This window comes from Homo sapiens, chromosome X (assembly GCF_000001405.40).
Source record: "Homo sapiens chromosome X, GRCh38.p14 Primary Assembly".
Taxonomy (NCBI): Eukaryota; Metazoa; Chordata; class Mammalia; order Primates; family Hominidae; genus Homo; species Homo sapiens.
In genome coordinates, this window is record NC_000023.11 from 116,724,426 (window position 1) to 116,751,276 (window position 26,851).

Here is a 26,851-nt window from a genome sequence, read left to right on the forward strand (position 1 = left end):
TGGAGGCGGGCCTGGAGGAATGCCTGGCCGCTGCAGTTTAGGTGTTTGGAAGTTCTTGTGTGCTGGAGATGTGACTGAGGTTTGTCTCACGGTGGAGGCAAGGAATTGCAACTCAGAAATACATTGCTACTTGGCTGCCTCTACTCTATTATTGCACCCCTTGAAGGTAAGGTTAATTAAGTCCTGTTGTGGGGTTTGAGGGCTGGAATTTAATTTTTGGAGCTTTATTGAATGTCGGGAGCAGATTGGGTAGTAAAATAAAATGCATATTGAGAATAAGATGGCCTTCTGACCTTTCAGGGTCTAGGGCTGTAAAGCATCTCAGGGTTGCTTCCAAACGAGCCATGAACTGGGCTGGGTTTTTATACTTGATGAAAAAGAGCCTAAACACTAACTGATTTTGGGAGAGGTCGGATAAAGAAAAAGGAGCATTAACTTTGATTATGCCTTTAGCTCCAGCCACCTTTTTAAGAGGAAATTGCTGGGGAGGTGGGGAAGGGCCAGTCGTGGAACAAAACTGTAAGCTGGACAGGGTGTGAGGAGGGGAGGTGATAAAAGGATTATAGGGTGGGGGAGTGGAGGCTGAGGAAGAATTGGGACCTAGCTCGACCTGGGGAGGAGAGGAGAGGTCAGATGGTCTGTAGAAAAGGAAGATTAGAAAGACTGAGAGACACTTGGGGTTGGGACTGAGGGGACAGGCGGGAGGGAAAGAAGGAAGATTTGGGAGGAGTTGCATTGAGAACAGAGACTAGGGAGGGACCGATGTGTAAAAGAATGCCTGGATGTCAGGCACTTCAGACCATTTGCCCATTTTACGACAAGAATTATTTAGATCCTGTAGGATGGAAAAATTGCAAGTGGCATTTTCTGGCTATTTGGAACAACTGTCGAGGTTGTATTGGGGTCAAGCGGCATTGCAGAAGAAAATAAAGCATTTAGGTTTTAGGTCAGGTGTGAGTTGAAGAGGTTTTAGGTTTTTAAGAACACAGGCTAAGGGAGAAGAAGGGGGAATGGAGGGTGGAAGCTTGCCCATAGTGAAGGAGGCAAGTCCAGAGAAAAGAGAGGGTAGAGACATGGAGAGAAGAGATGGGGGGTTCTTTCCCCCCAGAAAAGCAGAGAAGGGGTAGAGACATGGAGAGAAGAGATGGGGGGTTCTTGCCCCCCAGAAAAGCAGAGAAGGGGTAGAGACATGGAGAGAAGGGGTTGGGGGATTCCTGCCCCCTAGAAAAGTGGTACTTGCCACTAAGGGTGAAGGAGAAGGGGTTGGGGGGTTCTTGCCCCCCAGAAAAGTGGAGAAGGGGTAGAGACATGGAGAGAAGGGGTTGGGGGTTTCTTGCCCACCAGAAAATCAGAGAAGGGGTAGAGACACAGAGAGAAGGGGTTGGGGGGTTCTTGCCCCCCAGAAAAGTGGTACTTGCTGTTAAGGGTGAAGGACCAAGGCAGGCATCCCCGCGTGGTCAGACACCTCTGAAACTTGGGTGAATAATCAGGCAGCCATCCCCGCACGATTAAACACCAAGGGAAGACTGTCTTCCTGAGTCCGTGACCGGCGCCGGAGTTTTAGGTCCACAGATAAAATGCGTCTCCTTCATCTCTACCAGAAAAGGAAAGGAACTGAAATTAAGAGAAGGGTGAGATTGAAGTGTGGCACCAAGATTGAAAGGAGAAAGAGGTTGAGGGATAGTGAGAGAGGTTGGAGAAGAGAGTAAAAAGAGGCCACTTACCAGATTTAAAATTGGTGAGATGTTCCTTGGGCTGGTTGGTCTGATGACCAGAGATCATAGGTGGATCTTTCTCACAGAACAAAGAGCAGGAGGACAGGGGATTGATCTCCCAAGGGAAGTCCCCCAATCCGAGTCACGGCACCAAAATTTCACTTGCATCCGTATGAAGAGACCACCAAACAGGCTTTGTGTGACCAACGAGGCTGTTTATTTCACATGGGTGCAGGCAGGCTGAGTCCAAAAAGAGAGTCAGCGAAGGGAGATAAGGGTGGGGCCATTTTATGAGATTTGGGTAGGTAAAGGAAAATTACAGTCAAAGGGGGGTTGTTCTCTGGCAGGCAGGAGTGGGGGGGTCACAAGGTGCTCAGTAGGGGAGCTTTTGAGCCAGGATGAGCCAGGAGAAGGAATTTCACAAGATAATGTCATCGGTTAAGGCAGGAACAGAGCATTTTCACTTCTTTTGTGGTGGAATGTCATCAGTTAAGGCAGGAACCGGCCATCTGGATGTGTACATGCAGGTCACAGGGGATGTGATGGCTTGGCTTGGGCTCAGAGGCCTGACAGGAGCAAAGGCCACTCTTGCTATGCTTTAACAAAGAGACTGGCAATATATTGCCCCTGCCCTAAAAATATGTGGAATTTTGAACTTGAGAGGTGATCTGAAATTAAACCTTACGTTTAAAAGGGAAGCAGAGCATAAAAGTTTGGAAAATTTGCAGCCTGACAATGCGATAAAAAAGAAAAACACCAATTTCTGGGGAGAAATTTAAGCCCACTGCATAAATTTGCATAAGAAAAGAGGTTAATCACCAAGACAATGAAGAAAATGTCTCCAAGGCATGTCAGAGATCTTAATGGCAGCCCCTCCCTTCATAGGTCCTGAAGCCTAGGAGGAAAAAATAGATTGTGGGTCAGGCCCAGGGCTCCACTGCTGTGTGCAGCCTGGTGACTTGGTGACCTGTGTCCCTGCTGCTCCAGCTCCAGCCATGGTGAAAATGGGCCAAGGTACAGCTTGAGGCATTGCTTCAGAGGGTGCAGGCCCCACGCCTTGGCCGCTTCCACGTGGCGTTGAGCCTGCAAGTACACAGAAGTCAAAAATTGGGGTTTGGGAGCCTCCACCTAAATTTCAGAGGATGTATGGAAATGCCTGGATGTCCAGATGAAGTTTACTGCAGGGGCGGGGATCTCATGGAGAACCTCTGCTCAGGCAGTGCAGAAGGGAAAAGTGGGATTGGACCCCCTACACAGAGTGCCAACTGGGACACTGCCTAGTAGAGCTGTGAGAAGAGGGCCACCGTCCTCTGACCCCAGAATGGTAGATTCACTGACAGCTTGCACTGTCCACCTGGAAAAGTGCAGACACTCAATGCTAGACTATGAAGGAGCTGTCCGAGTCTGTGGGAGCCCACCCCTTATATCAGCATGCACAGAATGTGAGACATGGAGTCAAAAAATATCATTTTGAAGCTTTAGGATTTAATGACTGACCTTCTGGATTTTGGACTTGTATAGGGCCTGTAGCCCCTGTTTTTTGGCCAAGTTTTTTTTATTTGGAATTGGAGCATTTACTTCATGCCTGTACCTCCATTGTATCTAGGAAGCAACTAATTTGCTTTTGATTTTACAGGCTTATAGGCAGAAGGGACTTGCCTTGTCTCAGATGAAACTTTGGCTTGTGGACTTTTGAGTTAATGCTGAAATGAGTTAGGATTTTGGGGAACTGTTTGGAAGGCATGGTTGGTTTTGAAATCTGAAAAGACATGAGATTTTGGAGGAGCTAGGGGTGGAATAATATGGTTTGGCTCTGTGTTCCCACCCAAATTGTCACTGGTAGTTAGGCATGAGTGGGGCAGGAGAGAGCTCTTCCCCCACCCACTAGAAATGTCAGGTGATAGTTCAGCAATTATCACATTGCCTCTCTAAACATGATAATTCAGCAACACCAGGGAGAGAGGCAATTTCATGATGGTCCATACCTGTTAACATCAAAATCTTAATTGAAGGCAGGTCCCAGGGAGAAACAACTTCCTGGGCATGTATATTAAAATACAAAAATGATGAAGTGTGGTCTTCTGAGTACACTCTACCAGAAAAAGGAAGAAAACCTCAGATGGACATGTTTAGAACTCCCTAAACACACTGTGCATGCTCACTTCCTAAGGGTAAGGGCGGCCCTGTGCATGAAGAAAACCCACCCTAAGAGAAGAATCATGGGAAAAAGGTGAATTTATAAAAATCCTAGAATCCCAGTTAAAGAGGGCACTTGACCTTCTGTCTTTAACCTTCACATGCCCACTTCAGTCTTTTCCAAGTGCATCTTCCTTTCTTTCCTGTTCTGAGACCTTTTTATATAAACTTCCATTTTTGCCCTGGAACTTGCCTTGGTGTCTTTTTCTGCTTTATGGCCCTCAGTCGAATTCTTCCTTCTGAGGAGCCAAGGAGTGAAGTTGCTGTGGACCCATAAGAATAGGCTGCTGGTAACATGGGGTAACTCAGATCTCTTCCACGGTAACAAAACTTCATCTCTTATTGTAATCCTCATGTGTCAAGGGAGTAACCTATAATCCCCACATGTTGAGGGAGGGAGCTGTTGGATCATGGGTGCAGTTTCCCCCATGCTATTTTCATGAGTGAGTTCTCATGAGATCTTATGGTTTTATAAACATCTGTCATTTCCTCTGCTTGCAATTCTCTCTCCTGTCACCATGTGAAGAAGGTTCTTAATTCCCCTTGCCTTCTGCCATGATTGAAAGCTTCCTGAGTTCTCCCCAGTCATGTAGGACTGAGTCAATTAAACCTCTTTCCTTATAGATTACCCAGTCTCAGGTATTTCTTTATAGCAGTGTGAAAATGGACTAATATAAATAGACATCGGGGTTTTTTTATGGGTGGAGGTGTGTAGAGGGTGAGGATTAAAACAATACCTATCAGATTTCATGTTTATTAGCTGGGTGATAAAATAATCTATATACCAAACCCCTGCAATATGGAATTTACCTATGTAACAAATCTTCACATGTATGCCAAATTAAAATAAAAGTTTAAAAATAGAAAATAAAAAACAAGTTAAATTAAAAAGCAGTTCAAAAACTCAGACCTACATCGATATTCCTATTAAAGTCTCAGAGAAAATAATGATCTCTAGCATCAGTTGACACTTTGCTATTTGTCCTGCAGTAGAAATAATTGTGTTTTGTCAGACATGCATTCTATAGCATCCCAAAAGGTGAAGGCCATCAACCTGCAGCCAGCTAGCACACCCATAAGTGGTTTGTCATCAAAGCCTATGACACATATGATGCATATGGAGAATCCCAAATTCTGAATTAAAATGGCAAACTAAGTCCAATCTCAAATATCAATGATATGTCTGCACATTTTAGCACCATATAATTGCTTTTCAGGTGTTTTTTTCTCAGTGCCACTGGTTTATGTATAAAAATTTTATACATAAAATTTTATACATAAAATTATTCATAAAAATAAATGTTTTATTACTTTAGCAAACAGAGAAAAGACAGAATTGCAGATCTATAGATGATCTACAATTCTGTGTTAGTAGATAAGTACTTAAAATAACTATGACTAAAACATTAATGCATGTGGATAAAAAGGTAACAAATAAAAATAAAAAATCTTACAAATAATTGGAAACCTTAAAAAATCAAGTGGACAGTATTGGGTGGCTGTGGGAGAATTACGAATTGTTAATGGGTACAAAAACAGAAAGATTAAATAAGACCTATTTGATAGCACAACAGGTTGATTATAGTCAATAATAACTTAGTTATACATTTTAAAATAACTTAAAACATGTAATTGGATTGTTTGTAGCTCAAAGGATAAATGCTTGAGGGGATGGATACCCCATTTTTCATAATGTGATTATTACACATTGCATGCCTGTATCAAAACATTTCAGGTACCCCATAAGTATATACACCTACTATGTACTCACGAAAATTACAAATAAAAAATTAAAAATCAAATTGACTCTCTGGAACTGAAAATCTAATATCTGTAGTTTAACAACAGAATCCACACAAACAGAAGACAAGATTAACAAATGTGAGGACAAGTCAATATAAAACATGGAAAAGAATAATGGAAAATAAAATTGTAGAAATAAAGAATAGGGGAAGAAAAACAACATACAAGACAGAACACAATCACGTTGTTAAAATATACGTAATTTTCATCTTAAGTATATAGGAGAGAGAGGAAATGGGAAATAAACAGTATTTGAAAAGAAAATCATAAATAATTTTCCAAATATGATGAAATATTGCATCTTAAAGATTCATAATGCACAGCAAATTCCAAACAAAATAGCTGCAAATAAAACCACACTTAGGTTTATCATGGTCAAACTGCTGAAAACTAGTCATAAAGGTAAAAATCTTCAAATAATTCAAAAGAAAAAGACTACCTTAAAAGGAAGAACAAAAAAAAAATGGAGAACTAGAATTTCAATAGAAACTATGAAAGCCAAAACTCAATGTAACGTCATCTTTAAAAATACAGAAATACTTCAGACATAGATTTTCAATCCTAGAAAAGTGTACCTTCAAAAATAAAGGCAAAGAAGGGCATTATCACACAAGCAAAAGATGAAAGAATTTACTGATGACACATTTGTATTTCAGGAAATACTAAATAAGATTATTAAAATTGAGGAAAATAATCCCAGAAATAACTTCAGGAATTAATGAAGATCACCTAAATAGGCAAATGTGTAGCTAAAGTATCTTTGATCCACTTTGGTGACATCAAACCCAACTTAAACTCTAAGGGAATTCTTAAGTGTAAAGACCTGCAATCACAGAATATTATGCTAGAAGAGACCTTTGAAAGCATTTAGTCCAACTCACCTTATTTGACAGATATGAGTAAATGTTTTTTGCAGATGAATTAGTTATCTGGTTAGAACTGGAAATAAATCCCAATTTGTAATGATTCTAACCCTCAAGTTCTAACATTCTGAGCTCCAGTCCCTTCACAACCTCCTAGGCCTTTAAATTCTCTTGGGACAACCTGTTGTCATTATGTATAGCCTCTGGTTACTTTTCATTTTCTATACTGGCCATGCCCAATTAACTGTATAATCATTCTCTGCACCAAGGATCTTGAAGACATAACCTCTGAGCCTCTTGAACCATCTGGAATGTCAATTTCCTGTAGGGTTTTTTTTTTTTTGGATCTTGAACAATAGATCTTGAATCAAGAATATTCCACATTCACAGATGAATATGTGCTAATTCTAGAGTAGGTAAATTATTTGTGAGGGTTCTTGACTATAGCAGGGGCTCAAATCAGACCCAGCTGCTGTAGCAGTCGTATCTTCACCACTTGCATTCTTAGGTATAGTGTGATGAGACAGAAAACTTGTGCAAGTCTACAAGTAATAAAGAACCTTTATTACTCATAGATAGGGGGTAAGAATCAACAGAAATATATGAGCTATGGCAAGCTGGCCCTCCAATGCTCAAGAAACCTATGCAAGGTGGATGGAGTAGCATCTACACATGCCCCAGTTTGCACAACAGCTTTGGGATCCCAAAAGCCCTCTGCTCTGGTTTTATACTCTAGAGGCAAATTGTTGGCACACTAAGTCCAAGTGTTGTGGGATATCCAGTTCTATGAGTGATGGGGACAAAGCCAGGGCTGTTCTATGCCATTCCTTTTTATCTCAGGATTTTGTATTATCAGCACATTTTACAGTTATCCTGAGAAATACAAGCAGGAGCGGGAGAGCTAGGTCAGCCCAGAGTACCCAGGGACCTATCATCCTGCAATAATATTTCCCCCAATAAGTTTTTGTGCTTGGAGATAAAAAGGATGTTCTAATACACTAATTATAGTGGCTAGGAGAAGATTGAGTTATTGAAAATATAGCCTTGACAGCTTGTCCTAACCACTCCCTCTTGTCAATCAAGCAGTACAATTTGATCAGTTGATACTAAAATATGCACATATTTAGGATTTTTTGTTGCCATACAACATTGAGCATAAACACTTCTAATCCAGTGGCTTTAGAAAAATAACACTTTTGTAAAACAAATGTTGTTTGATATTTGCTCTTATATTAGACATGAGTTTCTACAGTGGATTCATTTTGACTACATTTCACTCTATAAAAGCTATCATTTTAAGTGTAATATATGTTTCATTTTACTGTTTTGAGGCTGAGTGGCAGCCAATCCTTTGGTTATGTCCCTCTGACTCTGCTGACCTCAATTCGTGGAACTGTTATCTTTTGATTGTGTATACTAGCTGGTACACCTGCGTTCATTGCCCTGCTGTGTGAAATAGATGCTTAGCAGCCAGGAATTCTGTAATTCTGGGAAAAGCCTTTTCTAATTTGTTTCTGTTTGTGACCTAAACCACTAGCATGCAGGAATCAATTATTCCTTTATTTATTTATTCATCTACCATTTATTGAGACAATACTAACACAATATTAGACAAGGATAAGTCACTTCATTTTTATACAGAGAAGTTGTGGATTGATGTACTGATTCTGCTACTTACTAACTAGTAAATTAGATTTTGAGTAAACCATGTAAACTCTCTGAGACTGTTTTCTCTTCAAGAAAATGGGAATAGCTACTATAAGTAAAATAAACTATTACTTGATCTTTACAATTCTGAACAAGATAAATCATAAGAGAATATTACTCACAAACTTCCAGTCTATGATTCTATGTATATCATAGCAGGTCTATCTTCTTAGCCTGTCATTTGAATTAAAGAACAAAGAGACATAAGATTGACAGAAACTGAACATCAATATTCATGATGCTGTTGCATTGAGACAGAGCATTTATGATATTTTCTTAAGCTGTTATGTCTGGTTTATAATGAGTATCCCAGAATAAGCAAAATGGTAGACATTCAAGTCTCCAAAGAGCCATTCAGCTCTATGCATCTGTCTAAATTTGAATAATGAAGTTCTTCATGAATGAAAAGGAAAACCAAGGAAACGAGAGCTAAGTATATTATGTGCTTATATGGAGAAAATTTAAGAATGATTCTCCTGCTTCTTAAAATTGTGTCTACGAATTTACACAGATATACATCTATACCATATGTGATCACCAAAAGTTCAGAGTGAAATGAAACCCCTTTGTGCCCTTTTGGTCCTTAAATGGGGCAAAGGTAAGGTCATATTTAGTTTCTACTCTCTAGGGTGCTTTAGCAGCATCTGCAAACATCACATCTTTAAAAATACTGGAGTTGTATTTTAAGTTCGGTTGCACAATCTTTACATACAGAGTCAGAGACATGCAGAAAAAAAATAAAAGAGTATGGAAGGGATGCTGTCTTGGCATGAAAATATCCTGGTTCTTCTACTCTTGAAAGGATCATAGTCTAAGGTCTATCTCTACCTATCTATCTATATCTATATCTATATCTATATCTATCTATATCTATCTATCTGTCTGTCAAGAGAGACAGAGAGAGTGGTCCAAAAATCTGTAGCTAGCAAGCAAGAAACCCAGGAGAGCTCCTTATAGATATATAGAGAGAGATGTGTATATACATATATATGTGTATATAGATTTATAGATAGAGAGAGAGGAGAGAGAGAGAGAGAGAGAGAGAGAGAGAGAGAGAGAAAGTTTACCATAAGGAATTGGTTCACATTATTATGGAAGCTGACAGGTCCAAAAATCTGTAGTCAGCAAGCTAGAAACCCAGGAGAGCTGATTGTTTAGTTCTGGTCCAAAGGCAGAAAAAGGCCTTTGTTCTACTGCTAAGGAAATCAGGTTGAAGGAGTTCCCTCTTGTTTGGGAAAGGGTCAGCCTTTTATTGTATTCAGGCCTTCACCTGATTGAATGAACCCCCCCCCCAACATTCATGAGAGCAATATGCTTTACTCAGTCTATCTATATGAATGTTAAACTCATCCAAAAACACCTTCACAGAAGCACCTGGAGGAGTGTCTTACCAAATATCTGGACACTTCTTAGACCAGAAGAATTGACATAAAATTAACCATCACAAGGATTCAGAGATCAAGTCCAAGATGCTATCAGGAAAACATCACTTGGTAAAGATGAACTAAGGGTTTTAACTGTGAAACATTTTGTGAATATCTCAGAGATATTTAAGATAGTTTTTACCCTTTGAAACCGACCCTTTGAAACAGAAAAAAGGCCTTCAAAGAGATATAGTTGCAGATAGCTTAGAAAATCACAGTCTGTCACATGTCAGTAGATTTTCTCCTGAACTTTATCCCACCTTTCTGATCAATACCTCATTTCCCTATAATGGCTTTCCCTTTCTCAAGCCATTTGTCAATATAACAAGTTCTGGCTTCTTTTACAGAATATAAACATTATAAAATCTTAATTTTTTAAAATGTCCAATGTTTTCCAGTATAAAACAGTATAAAACAACACAGCAAAACTGAGCCATGGCATTGTTTTATATTAATGTTTAACAAAGTGTCTTTTCATAACCCAAATTATTTTCTGCATGTTCTATTGCCTGGGGCTATAGAGGTCAAATAATAATTCAAACTCCAAATTTAAGCAGTTAATATTTTACTTAATATTTTCATATTTTAATAAGCTTACAATGTCAGTTATTTCCAGGTCTATATAGAATGAAGGGAGCTTTAAACCTCAACAATACATTAATGTATTCCAGTTTACAAGCCCTTCGACCCCATAAAACCCTGTAGACCTGAATTTTTTTTTTGTTCTACTTTTATTTTAGATTCCAGAGGTACATGTGCAGGTTTCTTACATGGGTAAATTGCATTTTTCTAAGGCCTGATGGAGGAATAATCCTGTCACCCAGGTAGTGAGCATAATACCCACAGGTAGCCTTCCAACTCCTCCCCCCTCCCAAGAAGTTCCCAGTATCTATTGTTCTGAGCCTTGTGTCCATGTCTATTCAATGTTTAGCTCTCTCATATAACTGACAGCATGTGTTATTCAGTTTTCAGTTTCTGGATTAGTTTGCTTAGAATAATGGCATCCAGCTACATCCATGGTGCTGCAAATGAAATGATTTTATACTTTTTATGGCTGCATAGTATTCCATGGTATGTTTATCATCTTTTATTTATCCAGTCCACTATTGTTGGCATCTTGGTTTATTACATGTCTTTGCTATTGTGAATCATGCTGCAATGAACATATGAGTGCATGTGTCTTTGGTAGAACAATTTATTTTCCTTTGGGTATATACCCAATTGTGGGATTGCTTGGTCAATTTGTTTTTAAGTTCTTTGAGAAATCTCCACATTGCTTTCCATGGTGGTTCAACTAATTTTCATTCCCATCAGCAGTGTATAAGCATACCCTTTTCTCCTTAACCTCCCCAGCATCTGTTTTTTATTTGTTTTTTAACTTTTTAATAATAGCCATTCTGACTGGTGTGAGATGGTATCTCATTTTACCTTCGATTTGCATTTCTCTAATGATTAGTGGTTATGATCATTTTTTCATGTTTGTTGGCCACATGTATGCCTTCTTTTGAGAGTGCCTGTTCATGCTCTTTGCCCAATTTTTAATGAGGTTATTTGTATTTTGCTTTTTAATTTGTTTAAATTCCTTATAAATTCTGGATATTAGACCTTTGTCAAATGCATATTTCTGAATATTTTCTCCCATTCTGTAGGTTGTCTGTTTACTCTGTTGATAGTTTCTTTTGGTGGGCAGAAGCTCCTTAGTTTAATTAGGTCCTACTTATCAATTTTTATTTTTCTTACAATTGCTTTTGTGGACTTAGTAATAAATTTGTTGCCAAAGACAATTAGACCTGAATTTATATGCTTCTCACAATATGAGATAATTATCACAATTTAATAAAAATGTTGTAATAGCATTTTCAAAGTGAATGTGAAAGTCTAGGATTTATTTAGCAATTTCCAATGTCCAGGCTGCAATTCTTGTGTTAAGGTAGATTTCTGCTAAGTGAGATAGTGTCCATCAGAGTGAGTTAGTTCCTCAGGAAAGAGTGAACATCTGACTTGCTTGGTGCAAAATGATTTTCGTTACTGTAGGCATAATGAGGATTAGAGTTGATTTTTCTAGTTCTAAAGCTGACACATAATCAGATGAACATATCTCAAAGACTTCCATTCACTCAGTCTTTCTTTCAGTATATGTTCCTTTAGCACCTATTGTGGATTAAACACTAAACTATAGAGATGCTGGGAACACAAAGATGAATAACATATGGTCTCTTGCCCTGAGAACCTTACCATCTAGTGGGAGATACAAACACCCAGCCAGACTTTAATATAATGTGGCGCTATTTCTGATGCCTCTGTTCTGTTCCATTGGTCTATATATCTGTTTTGGTACCAGTACCATGCTGTTTTGGTTACTGTAGCCTTGTAGTACAGTTTGAAGTCAGGTAGCATGATGCCTCCAGCTTTGTTCTTTTGGCTTAGGATTGTCTTGGCAGTATGGTCTCTTTTTTGGTTCCATATGAAAATTAAAGTAGTTTTTTTCTAATTCTGTGAAGAAAGTCAATGGTAGCTTGATGGGAATAGCATTGAATCTATAAATTACTTTGGGCAGTATGGCCATTTTTACAATATTGATTTTTCCTATCCATGTGCATGGAATGTTTTTCCATTTGTTTGTGTCCTCTCTTATTTCCTTGAGCAGTGGTTTGTAGTTCTCCTTGAAGAGGTCCTTCACATCTCTTGTAAGTTGTATTCCTAGGTATTTTTTTCTCTTGTAGCAATTGTGAATGGGAGTTCACTCATGATTTGGCTCTCTGTTTTGTCTCTTATTGGTGTATAGAAATGCTTGTGATTTTTGCACATTGATTTTTTATCCTGAGACTTGCTGAAGTTGCTTACCAGCTTAAGGAGATTTGGGGCTAAGATGATGGGGTTTTCTAAATATCCAATCCCATCATCTGCAAACAGAGACAATTTGACTTCCTCTCTTCCTATTTGAATACCCTTTATTTCTTTCTCTTGCCTGATTGCCCTGGCCAGAACATCCAATACTATGTTGAATAGGAGTGGTAAGAGAGGATATCCTTGTTTTGTGCTGGTTTTCAAAGGGAATGCTTCCAGCTTTTGCCCATTGAGTATGATATTGGCTGTGGATTTGTCATAAATAGCTCTTATTATTGTGAGATACATTCTATCAATACCTAGTTCATTGAAAGTTTTTAGCATGAAGAGGAGTTGAATTCTATTGAGATAATCATGTGGTTTTTGTCATTGGTTTTATGTGATGGATTACATTTATTGATTTGCATATGTTGAACCAGCCTTGCATCCCTGGGATGAAGCAGACTTGATCGTAGTGGATAAGCTTTTTGATATGCTGCTGGATTCGGTTTGCCAACATATATTTATATATATATATTTTTAGACAGTGTCTCACTCTGTCGCCAGACTGAAGTGCAGTGTTGCAATCTCAGCTCACTGCAACCTCTGCCTCCCGGGTTCAAGTGATTCTCCTGCCTCACCCTCCCAAGTAGTTGGGACTACAGGCATGTACCGCCACACCCAGCTAATTTTTGTATTTTTAGTAGAGAAGGGGTTTCACAATGTTGGCCAGGATGGTCTTGATCTCTAGACCTCACGATCCACCTGCCTTGGCCTCCCAAAGTGCTGCGATTACAGGCATGAGCCACTGCACCTGGCTGCCAGTATTTTATTGCAGATTTTCACATCAATGTTCATCAGTGATATTGGCCTGAAATTTTCTTGTTTTGTTGTGGCTCTGCCAGGGTTTGGTATCAGGATGATGCTGGCCACATAAAATGAGTAAGGGAGGAGTCCCTCTTTTTCTTTTTCTTTTTCTTTTTCTTTTTTTTTTTTTGCAGTTGCAAGATTTAATAGAGTGAAAACAGAGCTCCCATACAAAGGGAGGGGACCCAAAGGGGGTAGCCATTGCCAGCTCGAATGCCTGGGTTTATATCCCAATCATTGTCCCTCCCTCTGTGCGCTCAGGCAATAGATGATTGGCTATTTCTTAACCTCCTGTTTTTGCCTAATTAGCATTTTAGTGAGCTCTCTTTACTACCTGATTTGTTGGGTGTGAGCTAAGTTGCAAGCCCCATGTTTAAAGGTGGATGTGGTCACCTTCCCAGCTAGCTTAGGGATTCTCAGACAGCCTAGGAAATCCAGCTAGTCCTGTCTCTCAGTACCCCCTCTCAACAGGAAAACCCAAGTGGTGTTGAGGAGGTTGGCCAACGACTGCTCTAACTGCTTCCTGCTGAATTGGGGCATAGTAGGGGTCATGCATTTGAGATTTCTTCCGGAGGGGTGCCTTCGATCTCATTAACATCAGAGCATGGGCTACCAGGCCAGTCCAGGGGTCGCGGTAGATCTTAGTCATGGACTGCATCTGGTGCTCCATTTGAAGAACCATTTGTAGTTTTACAGCTTTGATTCTGGAAGAGACAAACTTAACAAGGAGGTTAAAGATACAGAGATTGAAATATAGGCCTGAAGTGCTGGGGATTATTTCTTTGGCACACTTCACAGGCCCTGACTATCTGCTTGATAGTTTTGAAAAGGCCTGGTGCAGTAAATAATGATTTGGCCATCTGATGGGTGCTATCAATGCCTAAGTGAAAGGTCTGGTGAAGGGTTTTAAGTAATTTCCATTGGTTAGCTGCAGGCAAAAGTATTTTTCCTTCTTCAGTGGCTAGCCATCCTGAGGGGAGGAAACTACATCCTCGTGAGCTTCCCCATAGTATTTTATTCTGCTGAGTACCGGGGCTTGGTTTCCCGGAGGGGATTACCCCATACCAGGGGTCCTTTTATAAGCATTTGTAATGGAGGGTCCCACCTTGCGGCTCTTTTGGCTTCAATATCTGCTTAGCGGTTCCCTTGTATTTCTCTTTCCTTTCCTTTTTGATGACCCCGGCAGTGTAAGACTGCTACCTCTTTAGGTTTCTGTACAGCCAATAATAATCTCCTAATGGCTTCCTGATGTTTGATAGGTGTTCCCTCGGAAGTTAGGAATTCCCTTTCTCTCCATATTGCTGTGTAGGCATGGAGGACTAGATAAGCATACTTAGAGTCTGTATATACATTTACCCTTTTTTCTTCTAATTTTAGTGCCCGAGTGAGGGCTATTAATTCTGCCAGCTGAGCGCTAGTTTCTGGAGTAAGGGGATTACTTTCAAGTATTCCATTATCACTGACCACTGCACACCCCACTTTTTGAAGTCCTTTTTCTACCAAGGAACCAAAGAGCTTCCATCAGTGTACAAGTTGAGGTCGGGATCAGTCAAGGGAACCTCTAGAAGGTCCCCTCAAGCGGCGTATGTTTAAGCAATCACCTGTTGACAGTTATGTTCTATCTTTTCTTCATTGTCTGGAAGAAATGTGGCTGGGTTAAGAGTTGCACAAGTGTGCAGTTGCAGCACTGGCCCTTCAAGTAATAGAGCCTGATATTTAAGCAAACTGTTGTCTGACAGCCACAAGTCTCCTTTAGCAGTGAGTATGCTGTTTACATCATGAGAGGTCCACACAGTAAGATCTCTTTCCTGTATTATTTTAACTGCTTCAGATACTAAGACTGCTACTGCTGCCACTACCCGTAAAGAATGAGGCCAGCCCTTTGCCACTACATTAATTTCCTTACTCAGGTATGCCACGGGTTGCAAGCTGGTCCCTCGGACCTGTGTAAGGACTCCTAGAGCTATTCCTGTTTTTTTCTGTGACATATAAAGAAAAGTCTTGCCCCGTTGGCAAGCCTAACACTGGGGCTTGGGTTAAGGCCTTCTTTAGGGCCGGGAAAGCCACTTCTGTTTCAGCTGTCCATCTTACTCAATGGGTATTGGCTTTCTGAGTTTCCTTAATTAGTGTACATAATGGCCTGGCTATTTTGCCATAACTGGGAATCCATATTCAGCAGAAGCCTGTTATGCCAAGGAAACCTTTGTTGCTTTAGGGTTTTGGGATGAGGATAAGCCAGTATAGGCTGGATACATTCCTCACTGAGGGCCCTGGTGCCTTTGGATAATTTTAGCCCTAAGTATTTAACCTGCTGTGAGCAGAGCTGAGCCTTTGGTTTGGAAACCTTGTAGCATCAGGTGGCAAGGAAATTTAAGAGCACTTGGGTGGCTTGAATGGGCGGCTTAAAGTAAATCATCAATGTACCAAAAGACAAGAGTGTCCAGGTATGAGAACTGGCTCAAGTCTTGGGCCAATGCCTGGCCAAATAGATGGGGGCTATCCCTAAACCCTTGGGGTAAAACAGTCCAGGTGAGTTGAGAGTCAGGATGTACAGGGACATGGAAAAAGGCATCCTTAAGGTCCAGGACTGTAAACCACTCTGCTTCCTTTGGTATTTGGGAAAGCAGAGTATAAGGGTTAGGTACAGCTGGGTATAGAGGGAAAACGGCCTCATTGATAATCCTGAGATCTTGCACTAACCTCCACTGTCCTTTGGGTTTCTGTACTCCTAAAACTGGAGTATTACAGGGACTATTGCATGGTTTTACTAGGCCTTGGGCTTTTAGGTCCTTAACAATCTTTTGGAGTCCTTGTTGGGCCTCGGGTCTAAGGGGTTACTGCCTTTGGTAGGGAAAAGAGGCGGAATCCTTTAGTTTAACTTGAACAGGACGGGCATTCTTTGCTCATCCATATTGTCCTTCTGTTACCCAGACTTCAGGATTAATGCCTTCCTCAAGCAGGGGACAACAAATGAGTGTTCCTTCTCCTATGTTCAGGTGTGTAATGGCTCCTGCTTTTGCTATAATGTCTCTCCCTAACAAAGGAGTGGAGCTTTCAGGCATAATTAGAAAAGCATGTGAAAAGAGTAAAGTTCCCCAGTCACAACTTAGTGGCTGGGAGAAGTATTTAGTGACTGGCTGTCCTAGGACCCCTCTGATAGTGACAGATCTGGAGGATAGTTGTCCAGGACAGGAGAGTAAGACTGAGAAGGCCGTGCCAGTGTCCAGGAGACAGTTAACCTCCTGGCCCTCAATGGTCAAGCATACCCAGGGCTCTGTGAGGGCGATGGCATGGGCTGGCGCTTGCCCTAGGCACCCTCAGTCCTGCTGCTGGATCATCTGTTTAGTGGCTTCTGACTCAGAGGACCTTCGTCCCCTGGGGCAGTGGGCCTTCCAGTGATTCCCTTAACATAAGGGACGTGGACAATTGGATGGCTTATTTCTATTTGGACAATCTTTTTAAAAGTGTCCTTGTAGACTGCACTGGAAGCAAGCCTTATTAAGGCATTCAATTTGCCCAGCTTTTCTCTTTTCCAGAACGTCCAAAGTCCGCTTGCCTGAGGGCCGTGACTAAAGTGGTAGCCTTTTTTTTTTTTAATCTCCTTAGTCCTGTTCCGCCTGCAAAATGAGTAAGGGAGGAGTACAGAAACCCAACGGACAGTGGAGGTTAGTGCAAGATCTCAGGATTCTCAATGAGGCCGTTGTCCCTCTCTATACCCAGCTGTACCTAACCCTTATACTCTGCTTTCCCAAATACCAGAGGAAGCAGAGTGGTTTACAGTCCTGGACCTTAAGGATGCCTTTTTCCATGTCCCTGTACATCCTGACTCTCAACTCACCTGGACTGTTTTACCCTAAGGGTTCAGGGATAGACCCCATCTTTTTCTATTGTTTGTAATAGTTTCAGAAGGAATGGTAGGAGTTCCTCTTTGTGCCTCTGGTAGAATTCAGCTGAGAATCCAACTGCTCCTGGGCTTTTTCTGGTTGGTAGGCTATTAATTACTGCCTCAATTTCAGAACTTGTTATTGGTCTATTCAGGGATTCAACTTCTTCCTGGTTTTGTCTTGGGAGGGTGTAGGTGTCCAGGAATTTATCTATTTCTTCTAGATTTATCTATTTCTTCTAGATTTTCTAGTTTATTTGTGTAGAAGTGTTTATAGTATTCTCTGATGGTTTGTATTTCTGTGGGATCAGTGATGATCTCCTCTTTATCATGCTGTATTTTGTCTAGTTGATTCTTTTCTCTTTTTTTCTTTATTATTCTGGCTAGTGGTCTTTCTATGTGGCAAGTAAATGTGATAATAGAGAAATGTACAGAAAGCTATGAGAACTCAGAGGAGGAATATTTAACATAACCTGTAGAGATCAGAAAATGTTTCTTGAAGGAGATAATATCTGAACACAATTATGAAGCCTGAATATTTTTTTCTAAATCTATATATGAGTATCTTAAAGATATGTACTCACAAAAACGATGACAAAGGCTAAAATAACAAATAATGTATTATATAACAAAGTAAAAGCAATTCATTGTTGCTAGACTATAAAGTGCAAAACAGCACGTGGTAAGTAATGAATACTGAGCAGTGATCTGGAGGTAACTCATTAAAAACTATATGTGATATCCTGTAGTTTAGACATATAGGAACTCACTGGATAACTGAAGAATGACATAATTAAACTTCTTTATTATTTTTATTTTCATTTATGTTTTCTGTCTTTCATAGGATATTAGTTTGAATTTTATTTTATTTTTTATTTTTATTTTTTAATAATTTCAACTTCTGTTTTTGATTCAGTGGTTATATGTGCAGGTATGTTACATGGGTATGTGTGATGCTGAGTTTTGGGGTACAATTGATTCCATCACTGAGATAGTGAGCATAGTACTTGGTAGTTTTTCAATCCTTGTCCCCTCACTCCCTTCCCCATCTACTAGTCTCCAGTGTCTAGGGTTGCCATCTTTATTTCCATATATAACCAATATTTGGCTCCCATTTATAGGTAAGAATGTGTGGTATTTGGTTTTCTGTTTCTGCATTAATTCGCTTAGGATAATGGCCTACAGCTGCACCCATGTTCCAGCAAATGATGAGATTTCATTCTTTCTGTGGCTGCATAGTCTTCTCTAGTGGATATGTATTACATTTTCTTTATCTGATCAGCCATTGATGGGCACCTAGGTTGAGACCATGTTTTGCTATTTTGCATAGTGCTACAATGAACATATGAGTGCACGTGGCTTTTTGGTAGAGCAATTTATTTTCTTTTGGACATATTCCCAGTAATGGGAAGGGTAGGTTGAGTAGTAGTTCTGTTTTAAGTTATTTGAGAAATCCCCAAACTGCTTTCCACAGTGACCCAACTAATTTACATTCCCACCAACAGTGCATAAGCATTCTCTTTTCTCTGCAACCTTGCCAGTATCTGTTGTTTTTTGACTTTTTAATAATAGCCATTCTGACTGGTGTGAGATGTTATCTCGTTGTGGTTTTGATGTGCATTTGTCTGATAATTAGTGATGTTGAGCTTTTTTTCTGTTTGTTGAATGCATGTGTGTCTTCTTTTGAGAAGTGTCTGTTCATGTTCTTTGCCCAATTTTTAATGAGTTTATTTGTATTTTGCTTTTTGATTTGTTTAAATTCCTTATAGATTCTGGATATTAGACCTTTGTCAGATTCACAGTTTATGAATATTTTGTCCCACTCTGTAGTTTGTCTGTTTGCTGAAAATTTCTTTTTGCTGTGCAGAAGTTCTTTAGTTCAATTAGCTCCCACTTGTCAATTTTTATTTTTATTGCAATAGCTTTTAGGGATTTATTTATAAATTCCTTCCCAAGGCTGGAATCAAGAATGGTGTTTTGTAGGATTTCTGCTAGGAATCTTACAATTTGAAGTCTTATATTGGAATCTTTAATCCACATTGAGTTAATTTTTATATATGATGAAAGGTAGAGGTCTTCATTCTTCTGCCGATGACTATCCAGTTATCACAGCACCACTTATTAAATAGGAAATCTTTTCTCCATTGCTTGTTATTTTCATCTTTGTCAAAGATCAGATGGTTGTAAGTGTGAAGCTTTATTACTTGGCTCTCTATTCAGTTCTACTGGTATATGTATCTGTTTTTTGTAACAGTACCATGCTGTTTTGGCTAAGGTAGACTTGTAGTAGTTTTAAGTTGGGCAATGTGATGCCTCCAGCTCTTTTTTTTTAAGATTGCTTTGGCTATTTGGGGGCTTTTATAGTTCCACGTGAATTTTAGAATAGTTTTTTTCTCATTTTATGAAAAATGACATTGGGAGTTTTATAGGAATACTATTAAATCTGTAGAATCTTTTGGGAAATGTGGCCATATTAGCAATATTGATTCCTCTAATGCATGAACATGGAATGTTTCAACTTTGTTTGTTTCATCTGTGATTTCTCTCAGCAGAGTTTTGTAATTCTCTGTATAGAGATTTTTCACTTCCTCGATTAGATGTATTTCCAGGTATTTTGCTTTTTGTGTGGCTATTGTAAATGAGATTGCATTCTTTTTTTTTATTATTATACTTTAAGTTTTAGGGTACATGTGCACAATGTGCAGGTTTGTTACATATGTATACATGTGCCATGCTGGTGTGCTGAACCCATTAACTCGTCATTTAGCATTAGGTATATCTCCTAATGCTATCCCTCCCCACTCCCCCCACCCCACAACAGTCCCCAGAGTGTGATGTTCCCCTTCCTGTGTCCATGTGTTCTCATTGTTCAATTCACGTCTGTGAGTGAGAACATGCGGTGTTTGGTTTTTTGTCCTTGTGATAGTTTACTGAGAATGATGATTTCCAATTTCATCCATGTCCCTACAAAGGACATTCTTAATTTGGCTCTCAACTTGAACGTTATTGGTGTATAGAAATGCTACTGATCTTTCGAGACCATGCTGGCTAATACGGTGAAACTCCGTCTGTACTAAAAATACAAAAAATTAGCCGGGCATGGTGGTGGGTGCCTGTAGTCCCAGCTACTCGGGAGACTGAGGCAGAAGAATGATGTGAACCCGGTAGGTGGAGGTTGCAGTGAGCTGAGATCGCACCACTGCACTCCAGCCTGGGCAGCAGAGCAAGACTCTGTCTCAGAAAAAAAAATAAAAAATAAAAAAAGAAAGAAATGCTACTGATCTTTGTACATTGATTTTGTATTCCAAAATGTTACTGAAGTCTTATATCAGTTCCAAGAGCCTTTTCACGGTGTGTTTAGTGTTTTCTAGGTATAGAATCATATGGTCAGCAGAGGAAGGTAGTTTGATGTCTTCTCTTCTTATTTGAATGCGCTTCATTTCTTACTCTTGCCTGATTGCTCTGGCAAAGGCTTCCAGTACTATATTGAATAGGAGTGGTAAGGATGGGCATTCTTATTATACTCCAATTTTCAAGGCGAATACTTCTAGCTTGTGCCAACTCAGTGTAACATTGGCTGTGGGTTTATCATAGATGGCTCTTATTATTATGTGATATGTTTCTTCAATGCCTAGACTGTTGATGGTATTTATTATTAAGTAACGTTGGATTTTATTGAAAACTTTTGCCACATCTATTGAGATGATCATGCAGTTATTGTTTTTAATTGTCTTTAGGTGGTGAATTCCATTTATTAATTTGTATATGTTGAACTAACTTTGCATTCCAGGAATGAATCTCATGTGATCGTGTTGAACTAACCTTTTGATGTACTACTAGAATTGGTTTGCTAATATTTTGTTGAGGATTCTCGTGTCCATTTTCATCAGGGATATTGCCCTGCAGTTTTCTTTTGAAGTTGTGTCTCTGCCAGGTATTATCAGGGTGATTCTGGCTTTGTAGAATAAGGTAGCAAAGATTATCTCCTCCTAAATTTTTGGGAATAATTTCAGAAGAATTGGTACCAGCTCTTCTTCGCACACAAAAAATTACACTGTGAATCCATCTGGTCTGGGGCTTTTTTCAGTTGGAAGATTTATTTTTAATACTGACTCAAAGTTTAAACTTGATATTAGTCTGTTCAGCACTTCAATTTTTTGCTGATTCAATCTTGAGAGATTGTGTGTTTCTAGGAATGTATCCATTTCCTCTAGATTATCTAGTTTGTGTCTGTAGAGGTGTACATAACAGTCTGAGGTTTGTTTGCATTACTGTGAGGACATTTGTAATGTCACCTTTGTCTTTTCTGATTGCACTTATTTGGATTTTTTTTTTCTCCTTGTAAATTGAGCTAGCAGTCTATTCATCTTGTTTATTTTTTCAAAAAAAAACTATCTTTTGGTTTTGTTGATTCTTTGTATGGCTATTTGGATCTCAATTTCACTGAGTTCTGCTCTGATTTTAGTTATTTCTTTTCTTCTGCTACATTTGGGGCTATTTTTTCTTCTTGTTCTAGCTTCTATAGGTGTGATGTTATTGTTATTTTGAGATCTTTCCAACATTTGAAGTAAGCATTTAGTGCTATAAACTTTCCTTTTAACATGGCTTTTGCTGTATCCCAGAGATTTTGGTATGTTGTCTCTATTTTCATTTATTTCGAAGATTTCATTTAAGCAGAAATCATTCAGGAGCAGGTTATTTAAATTTCATGCATTTTTTTTTGTTTTGAGAGATCTCATTGTTGATTTCTATTTTCATTCCACTGTGATCCAAGATTATGGTTGGTATGATTTCAATTATTTTGAATTGATTGAGACTTGCTATATGGCTAAGCATGCTGTTGACCTTAGAGTGTGTTCATGTTCAGATAAAAAGAATGCATATTCTGTGGTTGGTGGGTGGAGTATTCTGTAGACATCTATTAGTCCCAATTGGTCAAATGTCAAATTTAATTCCATAATTTCTTTGTTAGTTTTCTGCCTCAATGATCTGTCTAATGCTGTCAATGGAATATTAAAGTCTCCCACTATTATTGTGTGGCTATCTCAGTCTTTTGTAGGTCTAGAAGTACTTGTTTTGTGAATCTGGTTTCTTCAGTGTTGGGTGTTTGTATATTTACAATATTTAAGTCTTCTCATTCAACTGAACTATTTATTATTACATAATGCAAGTTTGTCCTTTTTTACTGTTGTTGGTTTAAGTCTGTTTTATCTAATATAAGAATAGTGACCCCTGCTCTTTTTTGTGCTCCATTTGTGTGATATATTATTCTTTATCCCTTTAATTTGAGCCTATGTATGTCATTACATGTGAGATGAGTCCCTAGAAGATGCAGATGGATGAATCTTATTTTTATCTAACTTGCAGCTCTTTGCCTTTTGTTGCGTTTAGACTATTTTCATTTAAGGTTAATATTTATATGTGAGGCTTAGATCCTATTGTGAAGTTATTTTCTGTTTATTTTGTAGTTTCTATAGTGTGGCTGCTTTATATGGTCTGTGGGCTATATACTTAAGTGTGTTTTGTGTTGGCAGGTATCATTTTTTTCTTTCTATGTTTAGAGGTCCCTTAAGTATCTCTCTTTTTTTATTATTATACTTTAAGTTCTAGGGTACATGTGTACAACGTGCAGGTTTGTTACTTATGTATACATGTGCCATGTTGGTGTGCTGTACCCATTAACTCATCATTTACATTAGGTATATCTCCTAATGCTATCCCTCCCCTCCTCCCCCAACCCCACGACAGGCCCCAGTGTGTGATGTTCCCCACCCTGTGTCCAAGTGTTCTCATTTTTCAATTCCCACCTATGAGTGAGAACATGTGGTGTTTGATGTTCTGTCCTTGGTGATAGTTTGCTCAGAATGATGGTTTCCAGCTTCATCCATGTCCTACAAAGGACATGCACTCATCATTTTTTATGGCTGCATAGTATTCCATGGTGTATATGTGCCACATTTTCTTAATCCAGTCTATCGCTGATGGACATTTGGGTTAGTTCCAAGTCTTTGCTATTGTGAATAGTGCCACAATAAACATACGTGTGCATGTGTCTTTATAGCAGCATGATTTATAATCCTTTGGGTATATACCCAGTAATGGGATGGCTGGGTCAAATGTCATTTCTAGTTCTAAATCATACCATCTCACACCAGTTATAATGGTGATCATTAAAATGTCAGGAAACAACAGGTGCTGGAGAGGATGTGGAGAAATAGGAACACTTTTACACTGGTGGTGGGACTGTAAACTAACTAGTTCAACCATTGTCGAAGAAAGTGTGGAAATTCCTCTCTTTTGTTTTTTTAATAAGAGGTGTATTTTAATCAGTTTCCCAGTAAGTCAATTACAAACATGCACTGCTAAAATGCAAGTTACAATTCAAATGGTACCACAAATAATTAGAATATACACTGAGTATTTTCATAAATCAGCTTCCATATCTTGATCACTAAATGGAAAAGTTCTTCAGAACAGTCCCTTACCCTTAGCTCACATCTTCTGGTTGTCATCATCTTCCACTGAGCTGCACCTTGTTAAGAAGGTGAAGCTGGTGTCTCAGCAAGTCAGACTCCTTGGAGAAGGCATCGAATGGCCTGTGCCCCATTTTCCTTTCTCTCTTCAGTGTACTGAATGCTGCACACAACTGCTTTAAAAGGAGACCATCCCTGCAGCAGGCTCAAGAAGGAACAGACCCCTTTCATCACTGACTACACCAATGGCATGCTGCTGTGGCCCGCACACACACACATTAATAAACTGCTGTGAAATTTCTTCAGTCTTTATATTTACTCAAGCCCTTGGAGTTTCTTCATCTTGTTTAAATTTTTTCCTGGATGAAGGCATGCTGTAGGGCCTGGTTGATGCTAATTCGTTTAGCTGGATCCAACATCAGAATCTGGTCCAACAAGTCCTTTAGCTGGTGTACTTTCTTACGTTGGTCTTCAGGAAGTCTCTGGCACCCAATCAAGTCAGCCAACAGGTCCTTAGTTGGATTAATGGTGCTTATAACAGTAACTTTCTCCCTCTCTGTTACTTTATCAATTTCTATATACCTGAAGTTGAGATTTTGATCAAAATGCTGATCCTTGAATACACCTTTTCTAATCATCTTATTTGGCATCTTTCCTTTGAGATCCATTGCAAGTTTCAGCATATGGTTATTGGTATCTCTTAAGAGGTCCCTTAAGTATCTCTTATATGGCTGGTGGTCTAGTAGGAACAAATTCCTTTTTGCACTTGCTTGTCTGGAAAAGACTTTATTTTTTCTTCACCCATGATACTAAGTTTGCTGGGCTATGAAAATCTTGGTTGGCAATAATTTTCTATAAGAATGCTGATAATAGGCCTTCAATTTCTTTTGGCTCTTAATCTTTCTGCAGAGAAGTCTGCTGGTAGACTTTTGGGGTTTCCTTGGTATGTGATCTGATATTCTTTCTATCTGCCTTTATGATTTTTTTTCTCTAGCCTTGACTTTCAACAGTCTGGTGACTATATGCCGTGGTGTTATTTGTTTTAAATAGTATCTTGCAACTGTTCTCTGGATTTCTTGTATCTGGATGTTTAGGTCTCCAGCAAGATTAGGGAAATTTTATTGAACTATTCCCTCAACTATGTTTTCTGGTTTCTTATATTTTCTACTTCTTTCTCAGTAATGCCAGCAACTCATAGGTTTGATTGCTATATATAATTCCATTTTTGAAGACTTTGCTCATTTTTAAAAATTATTTTTTCTTTATTTTTTTCTGACTGGGTTCATTAGAAAGATTGGTCTTTTTCTTCCTGGTCTCTAGTCTGCTAACAAAGCTTTTAATTTTATTTTAAAATTTATTAAATAAATTTTTAAATTTCAGGATCTTTTATTGATATTTTAAAGATTTTATCTCTTCCTTCAATTCCTGGATTACTTTAGAAGTTTATTTGTGTTGATTTTCATCCTTGTCTTGTATATCATTAAGCTTCTTTGCAATCCATGCTTTGAGTCCTTTATCTGTCATTCCTGAATTTCCATTTTGGTTATCAACCATTGCTGGATAGCCAGAATGAGCCTTTGGTGGTGTTACTACATTCAGATTTTATAGCACCAGAATTTTTATACTGGTTTCTTCTCATCTGGAGACACTGAAGGTTCTAATTTTTGTAATTATTTTTGTGTGAGTAGGATTTTTTCCTTTTTTTTTCTTTCCCTATAGTATTATGGTTTTATTTTTCTTTCTCTTTCAGTTTCATCCTTTGCCTTTGGGGTGTTACTATAGTGAATGTTAGGTAGGGTCTTTTGTCTTTGCTTCTAAAGCCCTATGCAATTCTATTGGCAGGTTTTATATTGGGCTTCATGATTTGACCTTAAAGCCGGTAGATGGCACTTATGGATAAGCACAAACTGCTACCAATCCAGCTTGGTATATACTTGATCCTTGTTTACCGGGAGAAGCTCTCTGTTGCCCCAGGCAATGAGCTGATCTATGGAGTGCACAGTAATGTGAGCTTCTCGTTCAGCCCCAAGAGGGAGGGGTTAGATGGCTGGGGCTTGACTGGGCAAGTCCACCTACAGTTCTTCCATAGCAGACACAAAACCAGTGCTTATAGAGAATCCAGTGGGCATCAAACAAATACCTAGAATTGTATCTAGGTGTCGAGCAGGGAAGCCTTTTTCTTCCATTCTCAACATAGGTAGAGGGGTGGCCTATACTCCTAATCTGGGAGATTGGGTGCTCCAGGTGCCTGGACATCTACTTGGGCAAGGATTGAAGAGGGCTACTCTGCACCATGATATATTCCCAGGAAGGATGGGGCAGCTCAGGCTGCTAAACCTGGTCAGGTGCTACAAATGTCTGGAGATCTGCCTGGGCATGGAACAGAGAGGGCCCAGCTGCACGAGGACCTCTGCACAGGAGTGATGGGGTGACTTAAGCTACTAATCCATAAGAGTGGGTGCTCCCAATGCCTGGAATCTTCCTGGATATGGACCAGAGAGGACCCCACTTCACCACAATCTATACACAGGAAAGGTGGCATGGCTTAAGCTGCTGATCTGGATGAGTGGGTGCTCTGATTTCCTGGAGATCCACCTGAGCATAGGGCAGAGAGGGCCCCACTGTACCATGGTCTCTGCACAGGGAGGGTGGGTGACAGAGCCTGTTGAACCAAGCAAGTGGGTGTTCTAAATGCCTGAAGATCTGCCTTGGTGTGAAGCAGAGAGGGCCTCATTGCACAATGATCTGTGCTCAGGAAGGATGGGGTGTCTCAGGCTGCTGAACCATGCAATCAGGTGGTCTTAATGCTTAGAGATCTGCCTGGGCATGAAGTAGAGAGGGCCCTACTGTACCATGGTCTATGTGCAGGAAGAATAGTGTATCTCAGGGTGTTAATCCTGGCAAGGGGATTCTCTGACTACCTGAACATTGAGTGACGAGGGCCCTGCTGCACCACAGTATCATGGAACCAGCAATGGGCATCCAACAATGACACATTCAGACCAGTTCCAGTCCACCAACCTGGCTCTAGCTGCAAGTCTTTTCACCCAGGTGAAAATGCATTTGTAGTAGTTCTGCTCCTGCCCCAGGCCTG

At 39.5% G+C, this 26,851-nt stretch overlaps 1 long non-coding RNA gene and 1 pseudogene across 1 annotated transcript, besides 1 other annotated feature; both read right to left on the bottom strand.

Moving 5' to 3' along the window:
* Positions 1,661–2,493: an enhancer, noted in NCBI's record as "OCT4-NANOG-H3K27ac-H3K4me1 hESC enhancer chrX:115860054-115860886 (GRCh37/hg19 assembly coordinates)". NCBI's record gives its function as "activates a minimal SCP1, AML or CMV promoter by ChIP-STARR-seq in primed H9 embryonic stem cells {active_cell/tissue: H9 hESC(primed)}" and the evidence as "EXISTENCE:reporter gene assay evidence [ECO:0000049][PMID:30033119]".
* Positions 2,511–26,851, bottom strand: LOC105373320 (uncharacterized). Its single transcript, XR_938556.1, has 3 exons — positions 26,779–26,851; positions 8,407–8,458; positions 2,511–2,798 (listed from the first exon to the last, which is right to left on the bottom strand). It is a non-coding gene; the product is annotated as an uncharacterized LOC105373320 (long non-coding RNA).
* PRPF4BP1 (PRPF4B pseudogene 1) lies at positions 23,715–24,452 on the bottom strand (annotated as a pseudogene).